This window comes from Homo sapiens, chromosome 1, assembly GCF_000001405.40.
Source record: "Homo sapiens chromosome 1, GRCh38.p14 Primary Assembly".
Taxonomy (NCBI): domain Eukaryota; kingdom Metazoa; phylum Chordata; class Mammalia; order Primates; family Hominidae; genus Homo; species Homo sapiens.
Window position 1 is genome coordinate 89,767,216 of NC_000001.11, and position 23,883 is coordinate 89,791,098.

At 41.1% G+C, this 23,883-nt stretch overlaps 2 long non-coding RNA genes and 1 other non-coding gene across 3 annotated transcripts; 2 read left to right on the forward strand and 1 right to left on the reverse strand.

Moving 5' to 3' along the window:
* Positions 1-996: 996 nt before the first annotated feature.
* Positions 997-1,103, reverse strand: LOC124904833 (small nucleolar RNA U13). Its single transcript, XR_007067429.1, has one exon. It is a non-coding gene; the product is annotated as a small nucleolar RNA U13 (small nucleolar RNA).
* Positions 1,104-4,705: 3,602 nt separating this feature from the next.
* Positions 4,706-21,083, forward strand: LOC107985744 (uncharacterized). Its single transcript, XR_001738140.2, has 3 exons — positions 4,706-5,603; positions 19,485-19,626; positions 20,356-21,083. It is a non-coding gene; the product is annotated as an uncharacterized LOC107985744 (long non-coding RNA).
* A 71-nt stretch (positions 21,084-21,154) lies between these two features.
* LOC101927975 (uncharacterized) lies at positions 21,155-23,280 on the forward strand. Its single transcript, XR_001738141.2, has 2 exons — positions 21,155-21,767; positions 22,838-23,280. It is a non-coding gene; the product is annotated as an uncharacterized LOC101927975 (long non-coding RNA).
* The last annotated feature ends 603 nt before the right edge of the window (positions 23,281-23,883 follow it).

The window sequence follows — 23,883 nt, forward strand, 5'->3', positions numbered from 1 at the left end:
TGGCCAAGGGTGATCTTAAAGAGGCAAGGGGTGATTGGATTCAGCTAAGGGGAAGCTGACTTGAAAAGGCATAGAGTTTGGGTTAAGAAGATTATTTTTATGTGGTTCACTTCCATATCTAAGTTATTGTTAGCTATCGTGGTGCAGGAATGGCTTCCAGCAATATTTCCAATGCTCCTTTGCTGCTCAGCCAATATCTGACAGACAGGTGCAATGCTAGAGGTCATATTGTGATTTGAATGTAACCTATTGCACTTGGCATTGGAAGTCTGTAGGTAATCACGTAGACAAAGTTTTCAAAAGTATGAACCCAGAAGCTAGCCTGTGGAAAATTCTGCCAATCTTCAGTTATGTAAAAGTCTGAGCAGAGGATTTAATTCTCAAAGACGCCTGATCAAAATGGAAGTTCTGTCCTGTTGAGAATATACATGATAAGCAGTGTATGCAATTATAAACCCAATATTTTTTATTTTTTGAGGTAAATCACACAAAATAGAATTTATCAGAAATCCTGTGATTGTAGGACACAGACCAGTGCCAGGTTCACAATGACTGTGCCTGTTTGTTTAGTCATGTATTTTATGCATCCCAACATGTTGGATCACATCGCATCCTAAAGACAAAGAGCAGCTTTAGACAAAAGAGAATGAAAAAGTATTCATCAATGAATCACAACAACCTAAAGAAACATTCCAATGATAAAATCACCACACATATTTATAAAATAAGTCCATGTACATAGTATAAGAATAATGACAAGTAGGTAGCTTAATGCAATGATGTTTAAAATCTATTTTACTTACTCTTCTATATACCTTAATTTCATGTAGCTTTGTGTATTTATTCAGAATTATTGATTATATTAAAATTCAAAAGAATTATAAAGGTATATATAAGGTAATTCATTAATAAAAGAATTGCATAATTTGTCCTGGACTTTTGATGTTTGTGGTATATTTGTCAACATTTTATTCTTTTTTAATTTTTTTTCTTTCATGACAGACAGGGTATGTGCGGATGTTGTAACAGGGTTTGAATGAAGCACGTCTCACACACCTCACATGTGAGAACCCAATCATCACATTTATGAACTACAAAAGGATTGGCATTTTAAAATTTGTAATTTGTGGATTTTTCTCATTCCAAGTAAATAGTTGTTTACATACCCAATTTTTTATCTTTGTTTTTGTTTTAATTTTTTATTTCTTTTTTTATTTTTTATTTTTTCTATTTATTTTTTCTATTTTCTACAACCAATTTTTTATTCCTAACTTTGCGTTCTTTTTCTTAAAGAAAGCCTCTGCCAAATTGTGTAAGCTCCTACACAACGCATAACTACCCCTGGTGATCAGGCAACAGTCACAATCAGTGAAGGCTCCAAATGATATTTACCAGTTTGGTTACTTTGGAAGTACTTTCAACGTCAGGCTTTAAAAGGGCAAGAATATTAACTGAGAAGAATTGAAGCTACTTTATTGAATGCCCTACATGGTTTGTTAAGTGAACATAACCTAATATTAAAATAGAACGCTTCTCACCTCAGAAGCGTCAGTCCAGAGGGACTGACATTGTGGCTCTCAGGTACCAATGTGCGCATGGGACAGAACACCATAAGAGTAATCTAAAACAAAACAAACCCTGATGTTTGGGTTTGGTTGCAAATTTTAAGGTCATTTATCCAAGGGCTTCTTTCTCTCTTCAAGAATAGAAAAGATTTTTTGGAGAGTAAGAAGAAAGAAGAAAGATTCTAGTGAGAAGGATTTTTTGGAAAAGTTTTTGCTGTAAGCCTGAAGTCCTGTATCTCAAGAGGAAATAAGGGGTGAGGGGACACCTGAACCTCCCTCAGGTTTTGAGGGCCTTCAACACGGCCATTCTGAGAGTCTAATATGTGTCACCTGAAGTTTGAAAGACCGTGAGCTGAGGGCTGATTTCTGCCCCAGAAAATGTGCAGAGTAAGAGAGAAGCTGGCCAGTTGTGTTGAGGATGATGAAGCCAAAGCAAGTAGCTGCTACACCTGGGAAATTCCCGCAACCCCAAGGCCCTGCCGTGGAAGGACACGGCATGTTACCCCAATGCAGGACAGGATAGAGGACCAGCAATCCTGAGGCTGTGTTAGGCTCTATCAGACAGGACCTCCTAGAAGGGGCAATGGGACTTCATAGTGTGTGTGGGTGGACCCTCTAAAGGGGGGAGCTGTCAGCAGAAGGGGCATCAACACAGCTCCAGAGATCCCACAGAGCGGGTACCCCCCAAAAGAGTGCTCAAGAGAATATCAGCTTTAAACGTCAGCCACACTCAGCACAAAGCCAAATTATGGCAGATAGAGCTGAGTAAGAAAATTCCCTTCTACTATTTTTGATTCCTCTCTTTATGTCCCAAACCTAGGGGCAAGCCTAATGAGGAAGAGGAGCAGGAAAGGAGAAATGAAGGATCAAGCCTTCCTCTCTCACTGCAGGCAGCCAGCTCATACTGGGGCTGCCCAAGAATGGGATACAATTCAACATTAAATAAAATTCAAGGTTTTAGATTTTTCCACGGCTCAGTATTCTAATGTGTGTATTGGGCTGTGTTTGTGACTTAAAATGACCACAGGACAGACTGTAAATTACCTTGGGGTGAACTGTATTCATCCAAGGCAGGAAAAGATTACCATACAAAATAAACTTTATAGGATCAATAAGAACAAAAGTCAAGTTGTGTTTTTATCACATTCCACGTGTCACATTTGTTCAACACTTTTGTTACATTAAGAAGAACCTATTAGAAAGCCATAAATAACTTAAAACTTTAATAATGATATTGATCTGATATCACTTTCTGATCGTTTTTCACTGGGCGTTAGTGAAATCCATATTCCTAAGTGGCCAGATTCATGTCTTTGTCTTGATATTACTCTGAATCATTCATTCATTAACCCGACAAGTATTTATTGAGATGTGATGAGGTTAGCTTCCTAAGTTCTACTTTGGTCATGTCCAAGACCCTTACTCAAGAACCTTCTGTGACTCCTCACTGTTTACAACAGACAGGAATATCAATAGGGTAAGGCTTTACCTCACCTCACCTCCCTCTCTCATTGTGTGTTCTGATATGTGCCTTAGGGGCTGGGGACTGCCCTTACCTCCCCGTTCAAGAGCCCACGCCCAGTGCTGCCCTAAAAGCCACTGTGATGTGTCAGAGGATTCATTTAATTTGCTCTTAGCAGAGCCCCTATCCTTTGCCCATCTAAATCACTTGGATAAAAAGGGAATTGAATTATATTTCATTTAGATTCAACTTACATTTTATTTTTTTTTATTAAGCCAGGAATATGATTTCCTCTCTTGGCAGCAGCCCAGCGATAATCATTTAAGCCCAGTTCCTTTCTCTAATGCTGTATCCTGGGGAAGGAAAGCTTATGGGGATTTCATCAGTGGTCCTGGTGAAATGACAGTTTATTCATCTCCAGGGGCTCTTTAGTCTCCACCTCTTGCACTTGTCTCGACAGAAGGTTTTGGAGGCTTTGGGGTCAAAGCAGTTTGGTTGGGAGAAGAAGGACAGGAACAGCAGTTATAAATGTCTGACTGCAGCCCACTTTTAAGAGATCTTTCCAGTTCACACAAATGAAGTGGATTTTAAATGCACTATTCTAGGACAATATGCCTCCCTAGTGTCTCCCCTGCAGCTGCCATAGACCCCGTTTGGGAGAGAAGATTGTTCCTATGCAGCTTATTTTATTTTTGTTTAATCAAATAAACAAGAGTGTTTTTCCATGGCAAAAAAAATAAAATAAAATGAATTTTTGGCCAGGCACGGTGGCTCACGCCTGTAATTCCAGCACTTTGGGAGGCTGAGGCGTGTGGATCACTTGAGGTCAGGAGTTTGAGACCAGCCTGGCCAACATGGTGAAACTCCGTCTCTACTAAAAATACAAAAATTAGCCGGCCATGGTGGTATGTGCATGTAGTCCCAGCTGCTCAGGAGGCTGAGGCACGAGAATCGCTTGTACCCTGGAGGCAGAGGTTGCAGTGAGCTGAGATCACGCCACTACACTCCAGCCTGGACAACAAGAGCGAGACTCCGTCTCAAAAAAAAAAAAAAAAAAAAATTGAATTTTTGAATTAAGCGTGATTATCCTGTTGCAGCTTGTTGTACATTCAAAATACAAGTATTAGAAGATAAGATTAACACCTATATTCTGTGCCTTTTAAATTATTTCTTTATTATTAGTGTTTATACTCAATGCAACAATCACTAAGCTACAGTGCTAAACATTGGGGATTTAAAAGATCAACAAGAAAGGGGTTGGAGAGGGGGAGATTCGCCTTGGGGGAGTAATCTGGAGAGGCGGGTAGCCTGACCATAATCTTCAGCAGTTACCCCAAAGCCACCCAGGTAACATGATGAGGATGAGAATAACAAACAAAAAGTGAGAAATCTTAACGAAAAAATTAAAATGCTGCCTGGCATGGTGGCTCACACCTGTAATTCCAGCACTTTGGGAGGCCGAGGTGGGAAGATCACTTGAGCTCAGGAGTTGGAGACCAGCCTGCACAGAATAGTAAGACTTCACCTCTATAAAAAAATAAAAACTAGCCTAGTGTGCTGGTGCACACCTGAAGTCCCAGCTACTTTGGAAGCTGAGGTGGGAGGATGGCTTGAACCTGGGAGGCAGAGGCTGTAGTGAGCCAAGATTGCACCACTGCATTCCAGCCTGGGTGACAGAGCAAGACCCTGTCTTAAAAAAAAAAAAAAAGTTGTCTTTATTGATCTAAGACCTATAATTTCAAGACATATGCTTATTATGAAAATGCAGCTTCAAGACAAGACTTAATCTCTTCTGCCCATCATATTTTAAAGCTGCCACAAAAGAAGTTTATGGTCTGTTGGAGTAAGAGACTGACGTGTGCACAAATAATTTACAAGACAGTAAATGCTATAATAGGGCAATGTATTTTCCTAATGAACCCTTTGTGGAATGGATCAAGAGTATTCATTTTCTTCTGGTAAACAGCAATCTGAACCCAAGAGATAATCCTTTCTCAAACACCCAATCAGCAATCAGCCAGCACCAGTGTCTTGATATTTCTAAAGAGTATACTCCGGTGGTTTGGCCTCCTGGAGGACGCTGTGAGGAAGACTGTGCTTGCGTCCCTGAGCCTGTTGCCACTCCTTACTAAGGGCCTTACTAAGGGCATGCCCAGAGCCATCCCAGTCTGCTATGTTTGGAAAGGGTTCTGGGCATCAAGACTTATCACTCAGAATACTGTGGGATTTTCTTCTACCTAAGACAAAAGAAAGAAGCAATTCCATTAATGTACGCTTTTCAGGATCTGTTGGGTTTTTCATCTGTTACTGCTTTGGGAACTTTTTCTGTGTGCCAGCACAGCGCTATGCACTGGACATTCCATGATGAGCAAGACGGATGTCCGTGCCCTCATGGACCTTAGAGAACCTAAAAGATTCTCATTTCTCTCTGAATTCTTCACAGGATAAACTGCCCTGGCATTTTCAGTTTTCTTTTTCCTCCTTCACCGGGAAGACTGACCCAAGCTTTCTCCTTCTGGGGCTGCCCCCAAAAGACTAGCTCAGTGTTATTCACACACCTGCAGATAGTTGTCCAGGTATGTATTTCAGTGCATGAAAATAACATGCTTTCCCTGTGTTATTCTCTATCACAGCACTCTGTGTACTATCTTCTTGGTGCTTATAGGCTGAAGTAATTAATTTGTCTACTTGTTCATTACCTGACCTTCTCACTGGAATGTAAACCCCATGGAGGCAAAGACCTTCTTAATATTCTCAGCTGAATCCTCAGTTCCTCATCAGCAACTTGCATATCATAGATGCTCAATGGTATTTGTTGAATTAATAAATATATGGAAAGAAGGAAGGAAGAGAGAGAGTCAGAAAATGTTATGCAAGGCTTACCAAAAATAGGGTAACCTAATTTCTTAAGGACTTTTACATATTCTTGAATGTGTACCATTTATAAGGGAATCATGGGTCTGGGGTGACATCTTTGACCAATGTCCAGAAGTCTACTAGAAATTTTCCTGGACATTCTCTCAGGGAAAATACTAAGTGAAATAGTTTGGGCCTTGTGGACCTGGAGTCACACAACTGAAAAAGGTTTTATTAGTTCTTGATGTCACTGAGTAGGGAAGGAGAGAAAGAAATACTCCTGGGCTCTAGGAAACCAGCTCCACCTGTGGCTTAGATAGATCCTTAGAGATAAGAGACAAGCAGGGTTTGCATGGGTCTGCAATGTTTTCCTTTAACCAAGGCCCACATTCTAATGAAATATATTTGTTGTTCATATAAAACCACCCTTAAAAAGATTTTTTCTAACATCCATAATTGTGTTTTTCTAGTTAGAGTTGACATAGGCAGAGAGCAAACCTATGTAATTGGCTAAGCAAAGATGTGTGCAGATGATGAGGCCATTATTGCAAAGAAATGCATATAATCAGGTAGGTATGATCCCTCAGAACCACAACGTTGGCATAGGTTAAGAATTTTAGATATTTGAAGTTATTGGTTTATTCCTATTTTATGCATTTATTAAACATTTATTAAGCACATACTTATTCAATTACTAACATGGATGACAAAACCAAATCATGCCAGTTGGGGAGGGAAATGGTAGTGGCCACTGCTGGATGTCTTGGATGCTTAGTGGAGCTGTTTCGCGATGCCATGGATTAGAGGTGCAGATGCACTGCTCCTGCACCTGGAGTGCAGTATTTCCCAGTCCATCTTCTGTGGGATGAAAGTGCTTTCTGGTGCTATTCAGGATATCAAGGCGTCATACAAAAAACTTACATTGGAAGATACATCTTACTGCTGTTTATCAGCAGCCGTCTACATGAAAATGCTGGTGAGGTCACTGCTGGATAATGCAGTACAAATGCAAGCACTGGTAAGCAATCTGAATTGTAACCACTTCATGTTTAAGAGAAGCACAAGGCCAGGCTGCCATTTGTAGGTAGATTACACTTTCAATGCTAGTGCCAGAATTCACATTTCTCTGGATTTCTGGTTTGCCAGCGGGTACCATGTATGTAAGGTTCTCCTGTGTATGATACCGGGAAATAGTGGTCCTGGCACCCTTGCCTGTCAAGCAACAACAGCATGGCTGTCCTGTCCCTAAACTGACCCATGGAATTATGCCACTGTGCAGCCACTGTAGATCACTCTCTGGCATTGACTAATCTGCTGCTGCTTTCTTTCTTTCTTTCTTTTTTTTTTTAGATGAAGTATCAATCACTCTGTAGCCCAAGCTGGAGTGCAGTGGCATGATCTCTGCTCACTGCAACCTCCGCCTCCTTGGCTCAAGTGATTCTCCATGCCTCAGCCTCCCAAGTAGCTGGGACTACAGGTGTGTGCCACCACACCCGGCTGATTTTTTGTATTTTAGTAGAGACAGGGTTTTACCATGTTGCCCAGGGTGGTCTCGAACTCCTGAGGTCAGGCGATCTGCCTGCCTTGACCTCCCAAAGTGCTAGGATTACAGGCGTGAGCCACCATGCCCGGCTAATCTGCTGCTTTCTAATGATCCTGCCTGCCACTGAATGTGACATGTAGCTCACATATGCCACAAACCATTCAGAAAGTCCTTGATGTAGTGGGCACCCTTGTATATTTTTCTTGACTGGTTTCTATATAGTCTATATAGTCTCTGAGAAAAGTGTCTTGATTCTCTCAGCTGGAATAATCTTTCTCACCCTGAAATCTCAGAGCACAGCAGCAGCACCACTCATGACCTTTTGTCGTATCTCTCCTACTGATCTTCAAAATCAGAAAGATCTGTGTGGTAAGCAGGGTAATGGCCCCCAAAGACAACAATGTCCTAATCCTTGGAATCTGTGAATATGTTAGGTTACGTGGAAAGGAGGAATTAAAGCTGCAGATAAAAGGAAAGTTGCTAATCTTCTGTAGAGATGGAGAGATTATCCTAGATCATCTAGGAGGGCCCAAGGTAATTACAAGGGTCCTTATAAATGAAAGAAGGCAGGACAATCTGAGCCAGAGGAGATGCAATCATGGAAGCAGGGTTGAAATGATGCAATTGTTGCTCCATGAGGATGGTGGGGGACCATGAGCCAAGGAACAGGGGCAGCCCCCCAAAGCTGGAAAAGGCCTGGAAACAGATGCTCCCACAGAGCCCCTAGAAGGAATCTAGCCCTGCCATATCTTTATTTTAGCCCAGTGAGACCCATTTTGAACTTCTCACCCATAGAACTGTAAGATAATAAATTTGTGTTGTATTAAGCCCATAAGATTCTGGTACTTTTTTATAGCAGCAATAGGAAACAAATACAGTATGTCTGATTTATCTTTCTTTCCATCAGTGCCTAACACAGGGTCTTGTTTTCAGCTAGCATCCAATAAGCATGTGTTGAATGAATGAATACTGAAAAACTACTGTTTTATACCTATAGTTGGTCTTTTGTTGTGGAAAAATATGCATACTATTTATCATTTTAGCCACTCTTAAGTGTGCAGTTAAGTGGCAATAGATACATCCACAGTGTTGTATAACCATCACCACTATCTAAACTTTAAAGTTTTTCATCAGCCCCACAAAAACTACACATTAAATAATAACTCCTCCATCCTCCTACCCCCAACCCCTGGTAACCACTATTCCACTTCCTGTCTCTATGAATTTGCCTGTTCTAGGTACTTCATATACGTGAAATCATACAATATACGTTCTTCTGTGTCTGACTTGTTTCCCAAACACACTTTCAAGTTTCATCCATGTTGTAGCATATATCAAAATTGTATTCCTTCTTATGGCTGAATAATACTAGTGTGTGTGTGTGTGTGTGTGTGTGTGTGTGTGTGTACACAAACCACATTTTGTTTATCCATTCATCTGTTAATGGACACTTGGGTTGTTTATACCTTTTGGCATTTGTGAGTAATGCTGCTATAAAATTTGGTGTGCAAACATCTGTTCTTTACCTCTCCAAGCTCTAAATTTAAAAAGATAGATAGATAGATAGATAGATGATAGATAGATAGATAGATGATAGATAGATAGATAGATAGATAGATGATAGATAATAAATTTCTGTTGAAATTTCTGATAGATAAATTTCTGTTGAAGTTTCAGATAGATATAGATAGATGATAGATAGATAGATAGATAGATGATAGATAGATAGGTAGATAGATAGATAGATAGATAGATAGATAGATAGATAGATGATAGATAGATTTCTGTAGAGAGATTTCTGCTTTTGATTCTTTTGGGTATATACCTGAAGTAGAACGACTGGGTCTTATGGTAGTTTTATGTTTAACCTTCTAAGAAATTGTGAAATTGTTTCCCACAGTGTCTGTACCACTTTACATTCTCACCAGTAATGTGCAAGATTCCAATTTCTACACATGCTCACCAACACTTGTTATTTTCCATCTTGTTTTGTCTTTTAATTATAGCCATGCTAGCTGGTGTAAGGTGGTACTCATTGTGATTTTGATTTGCATTTCCCTAATGACTCATGATACTAAACATCTTTTTATGGGTTTATGGACCATTTGTATATCTTCTTTGGAGAAATTTCTATTCAAGTCTTTCGCCCATTTATTTTATTTTAATTATTATTATACTTTAAGTTTTAGGGTACATGTGCACAATGTGCAGGTTAGTTACATACGTATATATGTGCCATGCTGGTGTGCTGCACCCATTAACTCATCATTTAGCATTAGGTATCTCTCCTAATGCTATCCCTCCCCCCTCCCCCCACCCCACAACAGTCCCTGGAGTGTGATGTTCCCCTTCCTGTGTCCACGTGTTCTCATTGTTCAATTCCCACCTATGAGTGAGAATATGCAGTGTTTGGTTTTTTGTTCTTGCGATAGTTTACTGAGAATGATGATTTCCAATTTCATCCATGTCCCTACAAAGGACATGAACTCATCACTTTTTATGGCTGCATAGTATTCCATGGTGTATATGTGCCACATTTTCTTAATCCAGTCTATCATTGTTGCACATTTGGGTTGGTTCCAAGTCTTTGCTATTGTGAATAGTGCCACAATAAACGTACGTGTGCATGTGTCTTTATAGCAGCATGATTTATAGTCCTTTGGGTATATACCCAGTAATGGGATGGCTGGGTCAAATGGTATTTCTAGTTCTAGATCCCTGAGGAATCGCCACACTGACTTCCACAATGGTTGAACGAGTTTACAGTCCCACTAACAGTGTAAAAGTGTTCCTATTTACCCACATCCTCTCCAGCACTTGTTGTTTCCTGACTTTTTAATGATTGCCATTCTAACTGGTGTGATATGGTATCTCATTGTGGTTTTGATTTGCATTTCTCTGATGACCAGTGATGGTGAGCATTTTTTCATGTGTTTTTAGTTATATTTTTGAGTTTTAGGTGTTCTTCATATATTCCAGATATTAATACTTTATCAGATATGTGCTTTGCAAATATTTCCCCCCACCTAGTAGGTTGTATTTTTGCTTTTAAAGTATCCTTTGATACACACAAGAAAAGTTGTATCCTTTGATTCACAGAAGACTTTTTTTTTTTTTTTTTTTTTTGAGACGGAGTCTCGCCCCGTCACCAGGCTGGGGTGCAGTGGTGCAATCTCGGGTCACTGGAACCTCCACCTCCCGGGTTCAAGTGATGCTTCTGCCTCAGCCTCCCGAGTAGCTGGGATTACAGGCACACGCCACCACACCCAGCTAATTTTTGTATTTTTAGTAGAGACACGATTGTTGGCCAGGATGGTCTCAATCTCCTGACCTCGTGATCTGTCTGCCTTGGCCTCCCAAAATTCTGGGATTACAGGCATGAGCCACTGCGCCCAGCCTTGATTTAATTTCCTACTCTGTGTCTAACATCACATAAAGGATTGTCCAAACAGCAGAATTTGTGTATAGCTCTTTTATATGTGAAAATCTCAGACTAAATAGTTTTATTTACAATAGCCCAAAATTGTAAACAACCCAAATGTTCACCGGTAATAGAATAGATGAATAAACTGTGGAATATTGAAACAGTGGAACAAGGCAGTAATAAAAAAGAATGCAGCCCTACGTTAAGTACAAACATGGATGAATCTCATTGACATACTGATAAGAAAGGAGGCCAGACACAAAACTATACATATATTATGTTTCCTTTTAGTATTAAGTTAGAGAGCAGGCAACACAAATCTATGGTTATAGAAGTCAGGTCTGTGGTTACATGAAGTGGGATATTGAGAAGAGACATAAGAGAGACAAAGAAGCCTTCTGAGCTGTTGGAAATATATCTTGATCTAGGCAGTGGCTACATGGGTGTGTGTGTGTGTGTGTGTGTAAATTCATCAAGTTTACACAGGATTTGTACACTTTGCTGTTTATATATTATACCTCAATTTAAAATATTTTTAAATCTCTGGCTAATGGTGAGGTTCACAGAGTTCATGTTAGTATATCATCATAGTGATTTTTCTCATCAGAATATAGTCTGGCCTCTTTGGGAAGTTTTCAAATGATAACTGAGTTTAATCAATCAGCAGCAAACAAAGGCTCTTTAACAGTCACAGAGTCGGCCGGGCACGGTGGCTTACACCTGTAATCCCAGCACTTTGGGAGGCTGAGGCTGGTGGATCACCTGAGGTCAGGAGTTCAAGATCAGCCTGGCCAACGTGGTGAAACCCTGTCTCTACTAAAAATAAAAAATTAGCCAGGCATGGCGGCAGACACCTGTAATCCCAGCTACTCAGGAGGCTGAGGCTGGAGAATTGCTTGAACCCAGGAGGTGGAAGTTGCAGTGAGCCAAGATCGCGCCATTGCACTCCAGCCTGGGCCACAAGAGCAAAACTCCGTCTCAAAAAAAAAAAAAAAATGAAAAAGTCACGGAGTCTTGGAAATTTGCTTGTCGCAGAAAGAGTTTTCTTGAGGACTAGAGAGAAGGGTAGTAAATCATGTGCTTCTATATTGATGTTATATTCACAAAATAAATATAGATTGCCTGGAAAAAATCAGCAAGTAATGAAGTAGGATGCTTTGATTGCTGTAGTATTTGAAACTATACCCTGATGGTTGCTCAGAGATGAGAGTTGTTGCTAAGATATTTTAGATACCAGGAAAAGAGATTGAAAAAGATTATGAGCACGAAAGCAGATTTTTTAAAAAAATACAAGTTCAAGTGTGTGTTGTTTTGACGCAGACTCAGAAGTGAAATTGGGAAGGCACAAAGTGATAGCATTGGGCTTCAATCTGTTCACTGACTATTCCCTCAGTAAAGAATTGAAGTTGTGGAAATGATCCCTGTCACACAGGCTATCTGAAGCAAATTAGATTTTTAAAAATCATATAGGTGGAGACCGAGGTGGCTAGAAATATCAATCATCACTCTAGGTCAATGGAGTAGGGAGATGATTAGCCCCTGGGCTGCAAGAGTGAGTGGGAAGATCAGGCAATTCTGGACAAGATTATCACACCCTAGAAGATTAGACTAATATTCAAAATTAAATTTATAAAATGGCCCACCAAAAATAGGATGAAAAACAGTAAAGATGGGGGCGGGCGGTTGCATGTTTGGTTCAATTCATCTTGGGTCCTGAGACAAGATGGAAAATGAATCACTAAGTAAAAGTGCAGTAGAAAAAGCACTAAGACTTTCCAAATGGAAAAACATACTTGAGCAACGTGTGCTATTTCAAAAGTTTTCAAGATACTGTAATAAGTTAACAAAAGTATGACAAAGAAAAATGTATAGTATTCAAGAGCCAAAAGTTATACTCTATAAGCATATATATCATGTTTTCCTCACTGAGTAGAAGGATATTTTCTTCTTTAAGAAGCATTAATTTTTCTTTTTTTTTTTTGAGACAGAGTCTCACTCTGTCACCAGGCTAGAGTGCAATGGCGCAATCTCAGCTCACTGCAACCTCCGCCTCCTGGGTTCAAGCAATTCTCCTGTCTCAGCCTCCCGAGTAGCTGGAACTACAGGCATGCGCCACCACGCCCAGCTAATTTTTGTATTTTTAGTAGAGACAGTGTTTCACTATGTTGGCCAGGATGGTCATGATCTCTTGACCTCGTGATCCGCCCACCTCAGCCTCCCAAAGTTCTGGATTACAGGCGTGAGCCACCGCGCCCAGCCAAAGCATTAATTTTTAAAGGCATTAGAAATTCAACTTTCATTAAGCAAGCAGTATGCAATAGATGTGGAAGTCCTCAGGCACTATGCTATGATTTGAATACTATCTAAATTTCAGGAAAGAGCCCCCATCCCATATCTTTAAAGTGAATTATTTAAAAATTGGAAATTAACCTTTTTTAACAAAAGATTACAGGAATAACTGTATACATATTTTCACATATGTAATTTCCAGTGTCATTATAAAGGGATCTGAATAGGTGCTAACATCAACAATAGGGATCAAAAAAGAGCTGAGCTTCAGTGCCACGACGACATTCCAATGTGTTGTCTGTTTTTGAATTGAACAAGCAGTAAAGGTTATAAAGTGTCTATCTATTTCAAAAAGATCATGAGAAACAGGACTGACCCCGCCTGTCCCTGACAGCTTATGCATTATATGGTTTTTCATTCCAGCATTCAATGATTTCAAGTGTCTCACACACAGAGTTGATTATTCATAGTGCTCATACAACCAACAGATGGCAGAATTGGCCATGTTGTTATTCTATGATGACTACAAATCTAGATCTATATCAAGCAGGATAGTTTTTTTTTTTTTTTAGACAAGATCTCACTCTGTCACTTAGGCTGGAGTGCAGTGGCGCCATCATGCCTCACTGCAGATTTGACCTCCTGGGCTCAAGCAATCCTCCCACCTCAGCCTCCTGAACACATGCCACCACACCCAGCTAATTTTTTTAATTTTTTTGTAGAGATGAGGTCTCACTATGCTGCCCAGGCTTGTCTTTAACTCCTAGCCTAAGTAATCCTTTCATTTTGACTTCCCAGAATGCTGGAATTATAGGCATGAGCCACCTTGTCAGGCCAGATTTTTTTCTTAAAATTGTTGTGGCCGAGTGCAGTGGTACATGCCTATTGTTCTAGCTATTCAGGAGGCTAAGGTGGGAGAATCACATGAGTCCAGGTGTTTGAGGCCAGCCTGGGCAATATGGCAAGACCTCGACTCTAAAAATGTATAATAATAATAAAGATGGTTGCGTATCCCCCTAGGAATCAGAATGTCTTACACATACACATCCATATACTCTTGCTCTTTCCAATTTTAAAGTATGTTTCTGGGCTTTTTTCCCTAAAACATACCAAAAGAAAGGATCTCACCTTCAACTATTACTGCATGGTAACAGCACAGTCAGTTCAAGAAAAGACAGAGCTCATGAGCTGTTTTTTTTTTTTTTCTTTTCTCACAACACATCTGGCACCAAATGAGATTTTTCCTCCCACCAACCAATTCTCCAACTCTCCAGACAACAACTGGCTGTTGTACAATTCAATTCAATTCTGACACTAACTGCCAGAGTTGGTGTCAGATGCTAAAAGTGAAAGGGCTCAGTTCCACAAAACTGTCTCCACATCAGACTTCAGATGCCAATCACAAGTCCAGGACATCTGGGCTTCTGACCCACCAGCTACAGATCAGGGGTTCCCACAACCCCCTCCTAGAACAGCTCACAGAACTTAGTTAAACACTTTACATATTAGTACCAGTTTATTATAAACTCAGAAACAGCCAAACTCAGAAACAGCCAAATGGAAAAGACGCACAAGTCGAGGTGTGGGGGTGGTGCGTGGAGTTTCCTCTGGCACCCTCCCAGCACCTTGATGTGGTCACCAAGTATTTAGGGGGTTTTATGGAGGTTTCATCATGTCGGCATGATTGATTATTAACTGAAGCCCTAGCTTCTCTCCCTTGGAGGATGGGACTGAATTTTCCAAGTTTCTCATCAAGACTGGGTCTTCCTGGCAACCAACCTCAATCCCAAAGTTATAAAGGAGCCCAGCAAGAGTTGCCTCATTAGAACAAAGATGCTCTTATCACTCAGAGAATTACTAGAGCTTTAGGAGCTCTATGCCAGGAACCAGAAACAAATACATATTTCTCTGGGTTCTTTCTTTATACATATCTCATTTTAAAAAGGCAGCTCTTCCAATAAAGAAAAGTTCAGAATCAGCATAAACTATCATCAGCCTTTCTGTTGCAGTATAACTGCTGGACTTTCCTCATTTCCCAAAGTGACCCTAAAATCAATCAGACCTGACCTGGGGCCAGATCAGACTTCCCTGAGCTCGGATTCTCTGGGCCCAAATTGTGGTTCCAAACAGCTCCAGCCCACAGTCTCCTCTCTGCCCTTCATCACCTCCTAGGTACATGTGAGAGACTCAGATCTATGGTTTTACATCTGTTCTAAAGGGAATTCAACTCATCCCAGGGGTTGGTTCACACACATAAAAACAAGGAAACTAAGCTCCTAATTAACATGTGCATATTATTTGTCTTCCACTTCTTGCAGGATCACGGGATCAAATGCTATATATATATGAGTAGCTTCTGCAATGCCAGGAATCTCATGACCCCCTCTCCACTGGCAAAAATAATATTAATAGCTAGCCCTTATTGAGCATTCACTATGTGTCAGACACTGTTCTAAATACTTTAGAATAGTGCACTGCACTTATTCATTCAGCAAGTTTTTAGTGAGTGCCACTCTTTGCCAGGCACAGTCCTAAACACTGGGGCTAGAGCAGTAAGTGAATAAAAATACATGCCTTCACAGAGCGTATAGCCTAATGAGAGAAGAAAAATAATAAACAAAGTAAATAAACTATATAGTATATTGGAAAGTTATAAGCCTGTAACTGAACACAGTTTCAGTCACTGCTTGCAGAGTCCAATTAACAAGAGCGAGGTATGGTAGGGGAAAATTGACTTTATTTCCAAAGTTGGCTAAGGGGAAGTGGCTGGATTCCTATCCAAAGCAACCAGTTTGAATTTTGAGGTGGAAAGGCAAGCGTTTAAAAAGGGAAGACCTGATATGGAAGGGATGCAGGAATTGCACTGAGTTTTATTCCAGTGGCTATCTTGGGTCCCGGTCCACCTGGAGTGTGGGCTGGCGTTCATCTCAACAATGGCCAGGTTGTTGATTAGCCACCTTGAGGTAATCTCTGGAATTCTGCAGCTGGGTCTCCAGGCTTGATCTGTCTCTCTCAGGATTTGTCCCTGGAACTTCTAAGTAGGCACCTAGTTAGATACTAACATATAGTTAGATAAATGTGAAGGGCGTGTATACGGTGAGAAAGGGAGGGATGGGGAGTCTATTTTAAGGCTAAGGGAAAAGGCTTCTGCAGTTTGCTTCAAGGTTACATCTTGAAACCCAAGAGAAAGGAAAAAAAATTTTAAAATGCATTTTGAAGTTAAGCTGCCCCTTTACAGGCCCATACAGAAAACGATGCAGGTAACAGGGATAGGGTGTGCTGGTGTAGGATGAGGGACAATTGCCATTCAAATAGAGTGATCAGGAACCTCAGGGAAAAGATGGCATATGAGCAAAGAGTCAATGCAAAAGGCCTGGGGCCCGAGCTTTACTGGCATGGTCAAAAAGGATGCAGTGTAGCTGAAGTGGAGTGAACAAGGGACAGAGTCACAGGAGGTGAGGCTGAAGAAGTAAGGACAGGGTGGTTGGGCAGATTATGAAGTCTTTTATGTCATTGTAAGGAATCTGACCTCGACCAGGCGTGGTGGCTCACACCTGTAATTTCAGCACTTTGGGAGGCTGAGGCAGGTGGATCACTTGAGCTCACGAGTTTGAGATCAGCCTGGGCAACACGGCAAAACCCTGTCTCTACCAAAAATACAAAAAATTAGCCAGACATGGTGGCACGCACTTATAGTCCCAGCTACTCAGGAGGCAGAGGAAGGATGGATTGAGCCTGGGAAGTGGAGGCTGGAGTAAGCTGAAATTGCACCACTGCACTCCAGCCAGGGTGATAGAGCCAGACCTTGTCTTAAAAAAAAAAAAAAAAAGGAATTTGACATTTACTTTGAGTGGAAAGGAAAGCTATGGAGTGTCTTGATCTAATTTATGTTCTAACAGAGTCTTTGCAGCTCCCATGTTGAGCAGAGACTGCAGAGTTAAGGATATAAACAAGGAGACCATTTAGGGGGCTATTATAACAACCCAGGTAAGATATTGTCTTAGATCTGGATCCTTGGAAACTAACTCTGAGATGAGCAATTACATCCACAGGGTTATAGAGCGTGCTCTTGGGAGATACTTGTGTCAGGACTTGAGGAAAGCATAATAGGTCAGAGAGAGAAGCTGACCTGAAAGATGGTGGCATCTGACGCCTCAGCCAATCCTATGGGGAGCCCTGGAGCTGGGATGGCCCTTCAGAGTTGTCCAAAATTAGGTTAGTTTTCCATGGCTGCTATAACAAATTACCACAAGCTTGGTGGCTTAAAACAACAGAAGTGTATTATTTTACAATTCTAAATAACAGAATTGTAAGAGCCCGAAATGAGTCTCATGGGACTAGTAAGGTGTCAGCAGAGCTGCATTCTGCTAGAGACTTGAGAGGGAGGATCTGTTTCCCTGCCTTTTCCTGCTGTTAGAAGCTTAGAAGCTGCCTGCATTGCACCTTTTAGAGGCCAACTGAATCCCAGCAATTGCCATCACATCAACACATCTCTTCCTCTGACTCTGACTCCTGCCTCCCTCTTTCATTTACATGGAGGCTTGTGATTACATTGGGCCCACCCAAATGATCCAGGACAATCTCTACATCAGAACGTCAACTGGTTAGCAACCTTACTTCCCCTTGCCATGTAACCTAACACATTCACAGGTCTGGGGATTAAGCTATCATTCTGTCTACCACAGGCAAGGTGGCCAGGTGTTCGTATCCATACATTGGCCAGGCTTTGGTGGGGGGCTGCCCCTTGGGAGAGCAAGGCAGTTCTCAGCCAAGGCAATCCCCATGAGGGACACACCTGTATGCCTTTGACAGCCAACATTCCCAGCAGGTGGAGGACAGGGACCTCAGCTCTGAAGAGGATACCTGGGAGGAATGACCAATATGGTAATCACTGTAGCACAAAGCAATTGGATGTTGGATCTATTTTGAAATTAGATTCAGCAGGATTTGCTGATGAGAAAAAAGGTCTCAAGGATACTCCATGATTTAGGGACTGAACAATGGAAAACTAGATCTGCTGTTAATTAGACAAAAAACACTGAATCAGTACTGCCTCATTTAATCCTTAAGATTAAACTGAGGAGAGTACTTTTATTTACTTCATAATACAGTCGAGGAGATTGAGGCACAAAGATGTAAAGAAACCCGTCCAAGGCCACTCAGTGAACAAGTGACAAAGCCAGGATTTGAACGATTTGAACCCAGCCAGTGCCCCCCAAAACACTCCGTTTTATCATTTTAAAATGATAACGGAACCCTTTCTATAAAATAGTTGTTTAGGGATCCAAAATTGAGCTTAACATTATTTTACAGAATCTTGACCTTTCACTCTGGGCCTAGAACCATGTCTGACACAGGCTGGAATGTTTGGAAATACTTGTACACTGACTGTGTGAAGATCTAGTTACATGTATAAAATGTCTGCATGTGTTTCTACTTGGGGCAAGGACTAAACTCTTTAGTCCAAAATCCAAAATGTGAGCCAGGCATGGTGGCATGCGCCTATAGTCCTAGCTGCTCAGGACACTGAGGCAGGAAGATCGCCTGAGCCCAGGTTACAGTGAGCTGAGAATGCACCACAATATTCCAGGCTGGGTGACAAAGTGAGATGCTGTCTATAAAAGTAAATAAATAAGCCAAGGGCGGTAGTTCACGCCTGTAATCCCAGCACTTTGGGAGGCTGAGGCAGGCAGATCATGAGGTCAAGAGATTAAGACAATCCTGGTCAATATGGTGAAACCTCGTCTCTACTAAAAATACAAAAATTAGCTGGGCATGGTGGTTCACATCTGTAGTCCCAGCTACTCTGGAGGCTGAGGCAGGAGAATCGCTTGAACCCGGGAGGCAGAGATTGCAGTGAGCTGAGATCGCGCCACTGCACTCCAACCTGGCAACAGAGCGAGACTCTGTCTCAAAAAAAAAAAAAAAAAAAAAAAAAAGTAAATAAATACATGAAAATAAAATCTGTGATGTGGCCCAAGGCTTGTTTCTCACCTTCTCACCAAGTCTCCGGCCTTTCTATGCTGTTTCTTTCTATGCTGTTTCATACATCAGCTCCTTTACCCTTCTTGTTCTCCCTTAGGCATTACAAAATTAAGTTAACTGTACTCTGCCCAGGGTGGCTGGCTCTCGACATTGCCCTGAATGCATGTGCTGGTTCTGCTTCCCTGCCACTGGGTAGGACATACTGTACACCTGGAATAGCTTCTCCTTTCTCCCAGCCTAGCTGAATATTCCTCACCTTTAAACCCTAAAGAGAGACTCTCTCCACCACGAAGGCTTACACGTAACACTTTGTTCAATTGTTTGTAACAGAAGCTCAACTACATTATTTTAACCAAATAGGGGTTTGTTTTCTCACACACCAAGAAGTCCAGAAGCAGACAGCCCAGGACTCTTACAGCTGCTCAGGGAAATCACCAAGGACCAGGCTGCTTCTAACATCCTTATCTGACAACCCCAGCGACTGGCTTCAGTCCTCATGGTGGTAAGATGGCTGCTCTACTCTATGTGTTGTGTCTGGGTCCCAGGCAAAGAGAAGGGGCAGGAGCAAAGGGTCCAAGGTGCATGCCAACTGAGTCTGTGCCTTTGTACCAAGAAAATAATCGCTTTCCTGGAAGCCCCACTCACTGGACTTCCTCTGTCATCTTGCTGGCCAGAACCTGATTGGGTGGCCACCCTTACTGGGCACATGGCTCTCCTAAACAAAACCGGCATGCTATTAGAAAGGAAGAGGAAATGGTAGAAGATGAGATAAACAACCAGCGGTGCCTACCACTCCTTCAGTCTATTCCAGTCCATTGGAACTTTACCCTCCTTTGAGCAACTGTTTACAGTCTTCCCGCCTTATCCTCAGGGGATACTTTCCAAGACCTCCAGTGGATGCTCGAAACCAAGGATAGTATCAAGCCCTATAAATACTGTTTTTTTCCTATATATACATACCTATAATAAAGGTTAATCTATAAATTAGGCACAATAAGAGATTGACAATTATAACTAATAACAAAATAGAACAATTATAACAATATACTGTAAGAAAGGTTATGCAAATGAGGTCTCTCTCTCTCAAAATATCCTATTATACCATACTCACCCTTCTTCTTGTGATGTGTCCATGGCTGGATGTCAGGAGCAGACAATGTCAATAACTCACAGGTAGGTAGCACATACAGTGTGGATACACTGGACAAAGGAGTGATTCATATCCCCACAGGACAGAGTCGGACGATGTGAAATTTCTTCATGCTGCTCAAAATGGTATGTAATTTAAAACTTATGGATTATTTCTGAAATGTTTAATTTAATATTTTCAGACTATGGCTGATCATGGGTAACTGAAACCATGGAAAGAAAACTGCTGATAAAGAAAATACTGTATTGCAATTTGTGGGCAGCAAAAGTCCATGTCTATATCCCCCATAATAGAGTGCTGAGCATACAGTAAATGTTCCACTTACTAATACCACAAATACGTACAGGCAACATGGCATCATGGTTACTACTTAGTAGCCTGTGTTTGAATCCCAACTCAGCCACTTACTATTTATTAGTCCCGTCAACTTGACCAAGTTACTTAACCTCTCTGTTCTTCAATTTCCCCATCTGTACAATGGAAATAATGTGTTAATACATATAGGCAACCCTTGGCATCCTGGGGATTGGTCCCAGGACACCCCTCATACCAAAATCTGTGAATGTGCAAGTCCCTTATATAAAATGGCATAGTATTTGCATATAACCTACTCATATCCTCTCATATTCTTTAAAGCATCTCTAGATTACTTACAATACTTGATCCAATGCTTGCACATCATTTTATTCATGTAGATTCAATGTAGTACTCAGTGCATGGTAAATTCAAGTTGTGCTCTATGGACCTTTGTGCAATTTTTTTCCCCCAAATATTTTTGATCTGAGGTTAGTTGAATTTACAGATGCAGAACCCACAGATATGGAGGGTTGTCTGTACTTTATGCAGTTGTTATAAGGATTAAATTAGATTAACCCTAATATTAATTTAATAAATTAACTTCAATAGAACAGCTAGAATAGTAAGCACTATGTAAGTGTCTGTTAAATGAACACATGATTGTCACCTATGGTTAAAACATTACCAGAAATTGAGACCCAGAATTTGACAAGTTAGAGCATCTTCATGGACAAAAGGGACAGAATAGTGGAAGCCAGGACTGTTGAGGTCAATTAGGATGCATGGTATAACCGCAGGTGAGACATCAATAAGGGAACCTAGCGACAGGTGGGTCAGAGTTGAGGCTTTAAGGTCAGGCTGCCAAATTCAGCCACTAGCTTCCTACTTATTAACTGTGTTCCCTGGGCAAATCACTGAATCTGTCTAAGGGTCAATTTTCTCATATGTAAAAATAGGATAAAAATAAACAGAGCCTCTCCTTAGGTGTGTTTTGAAGATTAAATAGATTATGTAGGGTACTTAACATTATTCATGGTATGTCTGAATAAATGTTCATTTTGTTAACGATCAGGACCTATAATTGAGAGGCCAACTGGACCATTTGACCTTGGCTGAAGGGGACACAGGAGTGCAGAATGAAGTTTTGCCATGAACGTAGATCCTCCCTTACAAATCCCTCCATTTTCAAACCCGAGGTGAGAAGATAGAGCTGAGGGAAAACGTGTCTGAGCTGCAAAGTTGTTGGGCCTCCCTGGGGCATTATGAGGCACAGGAATGAGCCAGTGCCCTCTAGTTTGAGTTATGACATTGGATCCCTTTTAAAAATGGAACAAATGGACCTCTCCTAAGAAACATTTATTTATTTTCTTAAGACTGGCATATAGAACCAGGTGCAGTGGCTCACACCTGTCATTCCAACACTTTGAGAAGCCAAAGCAGGAGGATTGCTTGAGCCCAAGAGTTTGAGAACATCCTAGGCAACATAGGGAGACCCCCATCTCTACAAAAATATTTAAAAATTAGCCAGGCATGGTGGCTCATGCCTGTGGTCCCAGCTACCTGGGAGACTGAAGTGGGAGGATCGCTTGAGCACGGGAAGTCAAGGATGCAGTGAGCCGTGATCATCTCACTGCACTCCAGCCTGGGTGACAGAGCAAGACCCTGTCTCATAAAGAACAAAATCAAACAACAAACAACATCAAAAAAGAACTGGCATATAGCAGACAATTGTTATCTCTGGAAGCTCATTTACTCCTAACTCCTATAAGATATGTCACACACACACACACACACACACACACACACACACACACACACTCTTCCAGGAAAAGAAGAGGCTAAATATTTTAGCCAATATCACATAGTTGGTGGGATTTAAACCACAGCCTTCTAACTTTTTTTTAAAAGACAGGGTCTGGCTCTGTCACCCAGGCTGGAGTGCAGTGGTATAATCACAGTTCACTGCAGCCTCGACCTCCCAGGCTCAAGTGACCCTTCCACCTCAGCTTCCTGAGTAGGTGGGATTACAAGTGTGCACCACCACATCTGGCTTTCTTTATTTTTTATTTTTTGTAGAAATGAGGTCTTACTATGTTGCCCAGGTTGGCCTCAAACTCCTGGCCTCAAGTGATGCTCCCACCTGAACCTCACAAAGTGTTGAGATTACAGATATGAGCCACTGCGCCAAACCCTTCTAACTTTGAATTTGTGGGTTGTTACACTTCAAAACAATTTTCTCTATTGTAAAATGAAACTTAATGCACAGGTCAGAGCTTCTCTGGGCAGCCAGCCCCAGCCCTCAGGTGAACTCAGCACAGCCCTTCTGACTTACCCAGGAAGATGGGAAAAGGCGAGAGTGAAGAAGCAAGAGAGAATGAAATGAAGAAGCCAAGTCTTCTCCTTCTTCCTTTCCCCTCCAGAGGAAAACCATCTCAAGAGCCAGAAGTGGTATAGGCCCCTAAGTCAAGCTTTTTCAAGCTCCACTTCTAATGCTCCATGCCTTAAAAAGTATGACCCAAGACTGTCCCTGAACATGGCTGATCCACGGTAACATCCTTCCTCCTGGGATAGTCTCAGAGGTGCGTGAGGGGAGCACCATGAACTTTCTCAACCTACAGGCCAACATATTTTATTTTATATTCTTATGTCACTATCTCAGAACTTAATAGCCACTGTATGGCAAAATAAATAATTGGGTTTTTGTGACGAGCCTTTGAAATGTCCTTCCCACTGCGGATGTGCCACACTGTCTCCTAATTCTCCCCTTACAAGCAGACGTAATCCATGTTTCTGAATGAATTTATAATATGAAACCTTCAAAGGGTGGCATGTAAGTTCCACAGACCTCATTTTTACAACAAGGAAAGATTCTTTCCAGGAAAAGATTTTGAAGACCTGAATACTAAGTGAGTGGTGCTATTATATGCATGTGAAACAGAAATGTCTCCCAGTCTTTGGTAACTGGTGCAGTAGACCAGAGCTGGTTTTAATTATGTAGAAATGACTGATTACAGTAAAAACTCAACCTGGAAAACTGCCTCAGAGTTAGAGTAAAGGATTTATAAGAATTTAGAGTTGGCAGAGACCAAAGTGATCATCTTATTCACTGGTGCCTTACGTTTTATTTAATCCACTCAACAAATGTTTACTGAATGCCCGTTATGTGCAGGGAATGCAAGTACAAAAATCTTTTTTTAATATTAAAAAAGGTCACAGACCATCATATGATAGCATTGTAATTCTGGACATTCAGAAAATTATTTAATAAAGTAAAATCAACTACAAACTTAATAAAAGTTTAAATATTATATT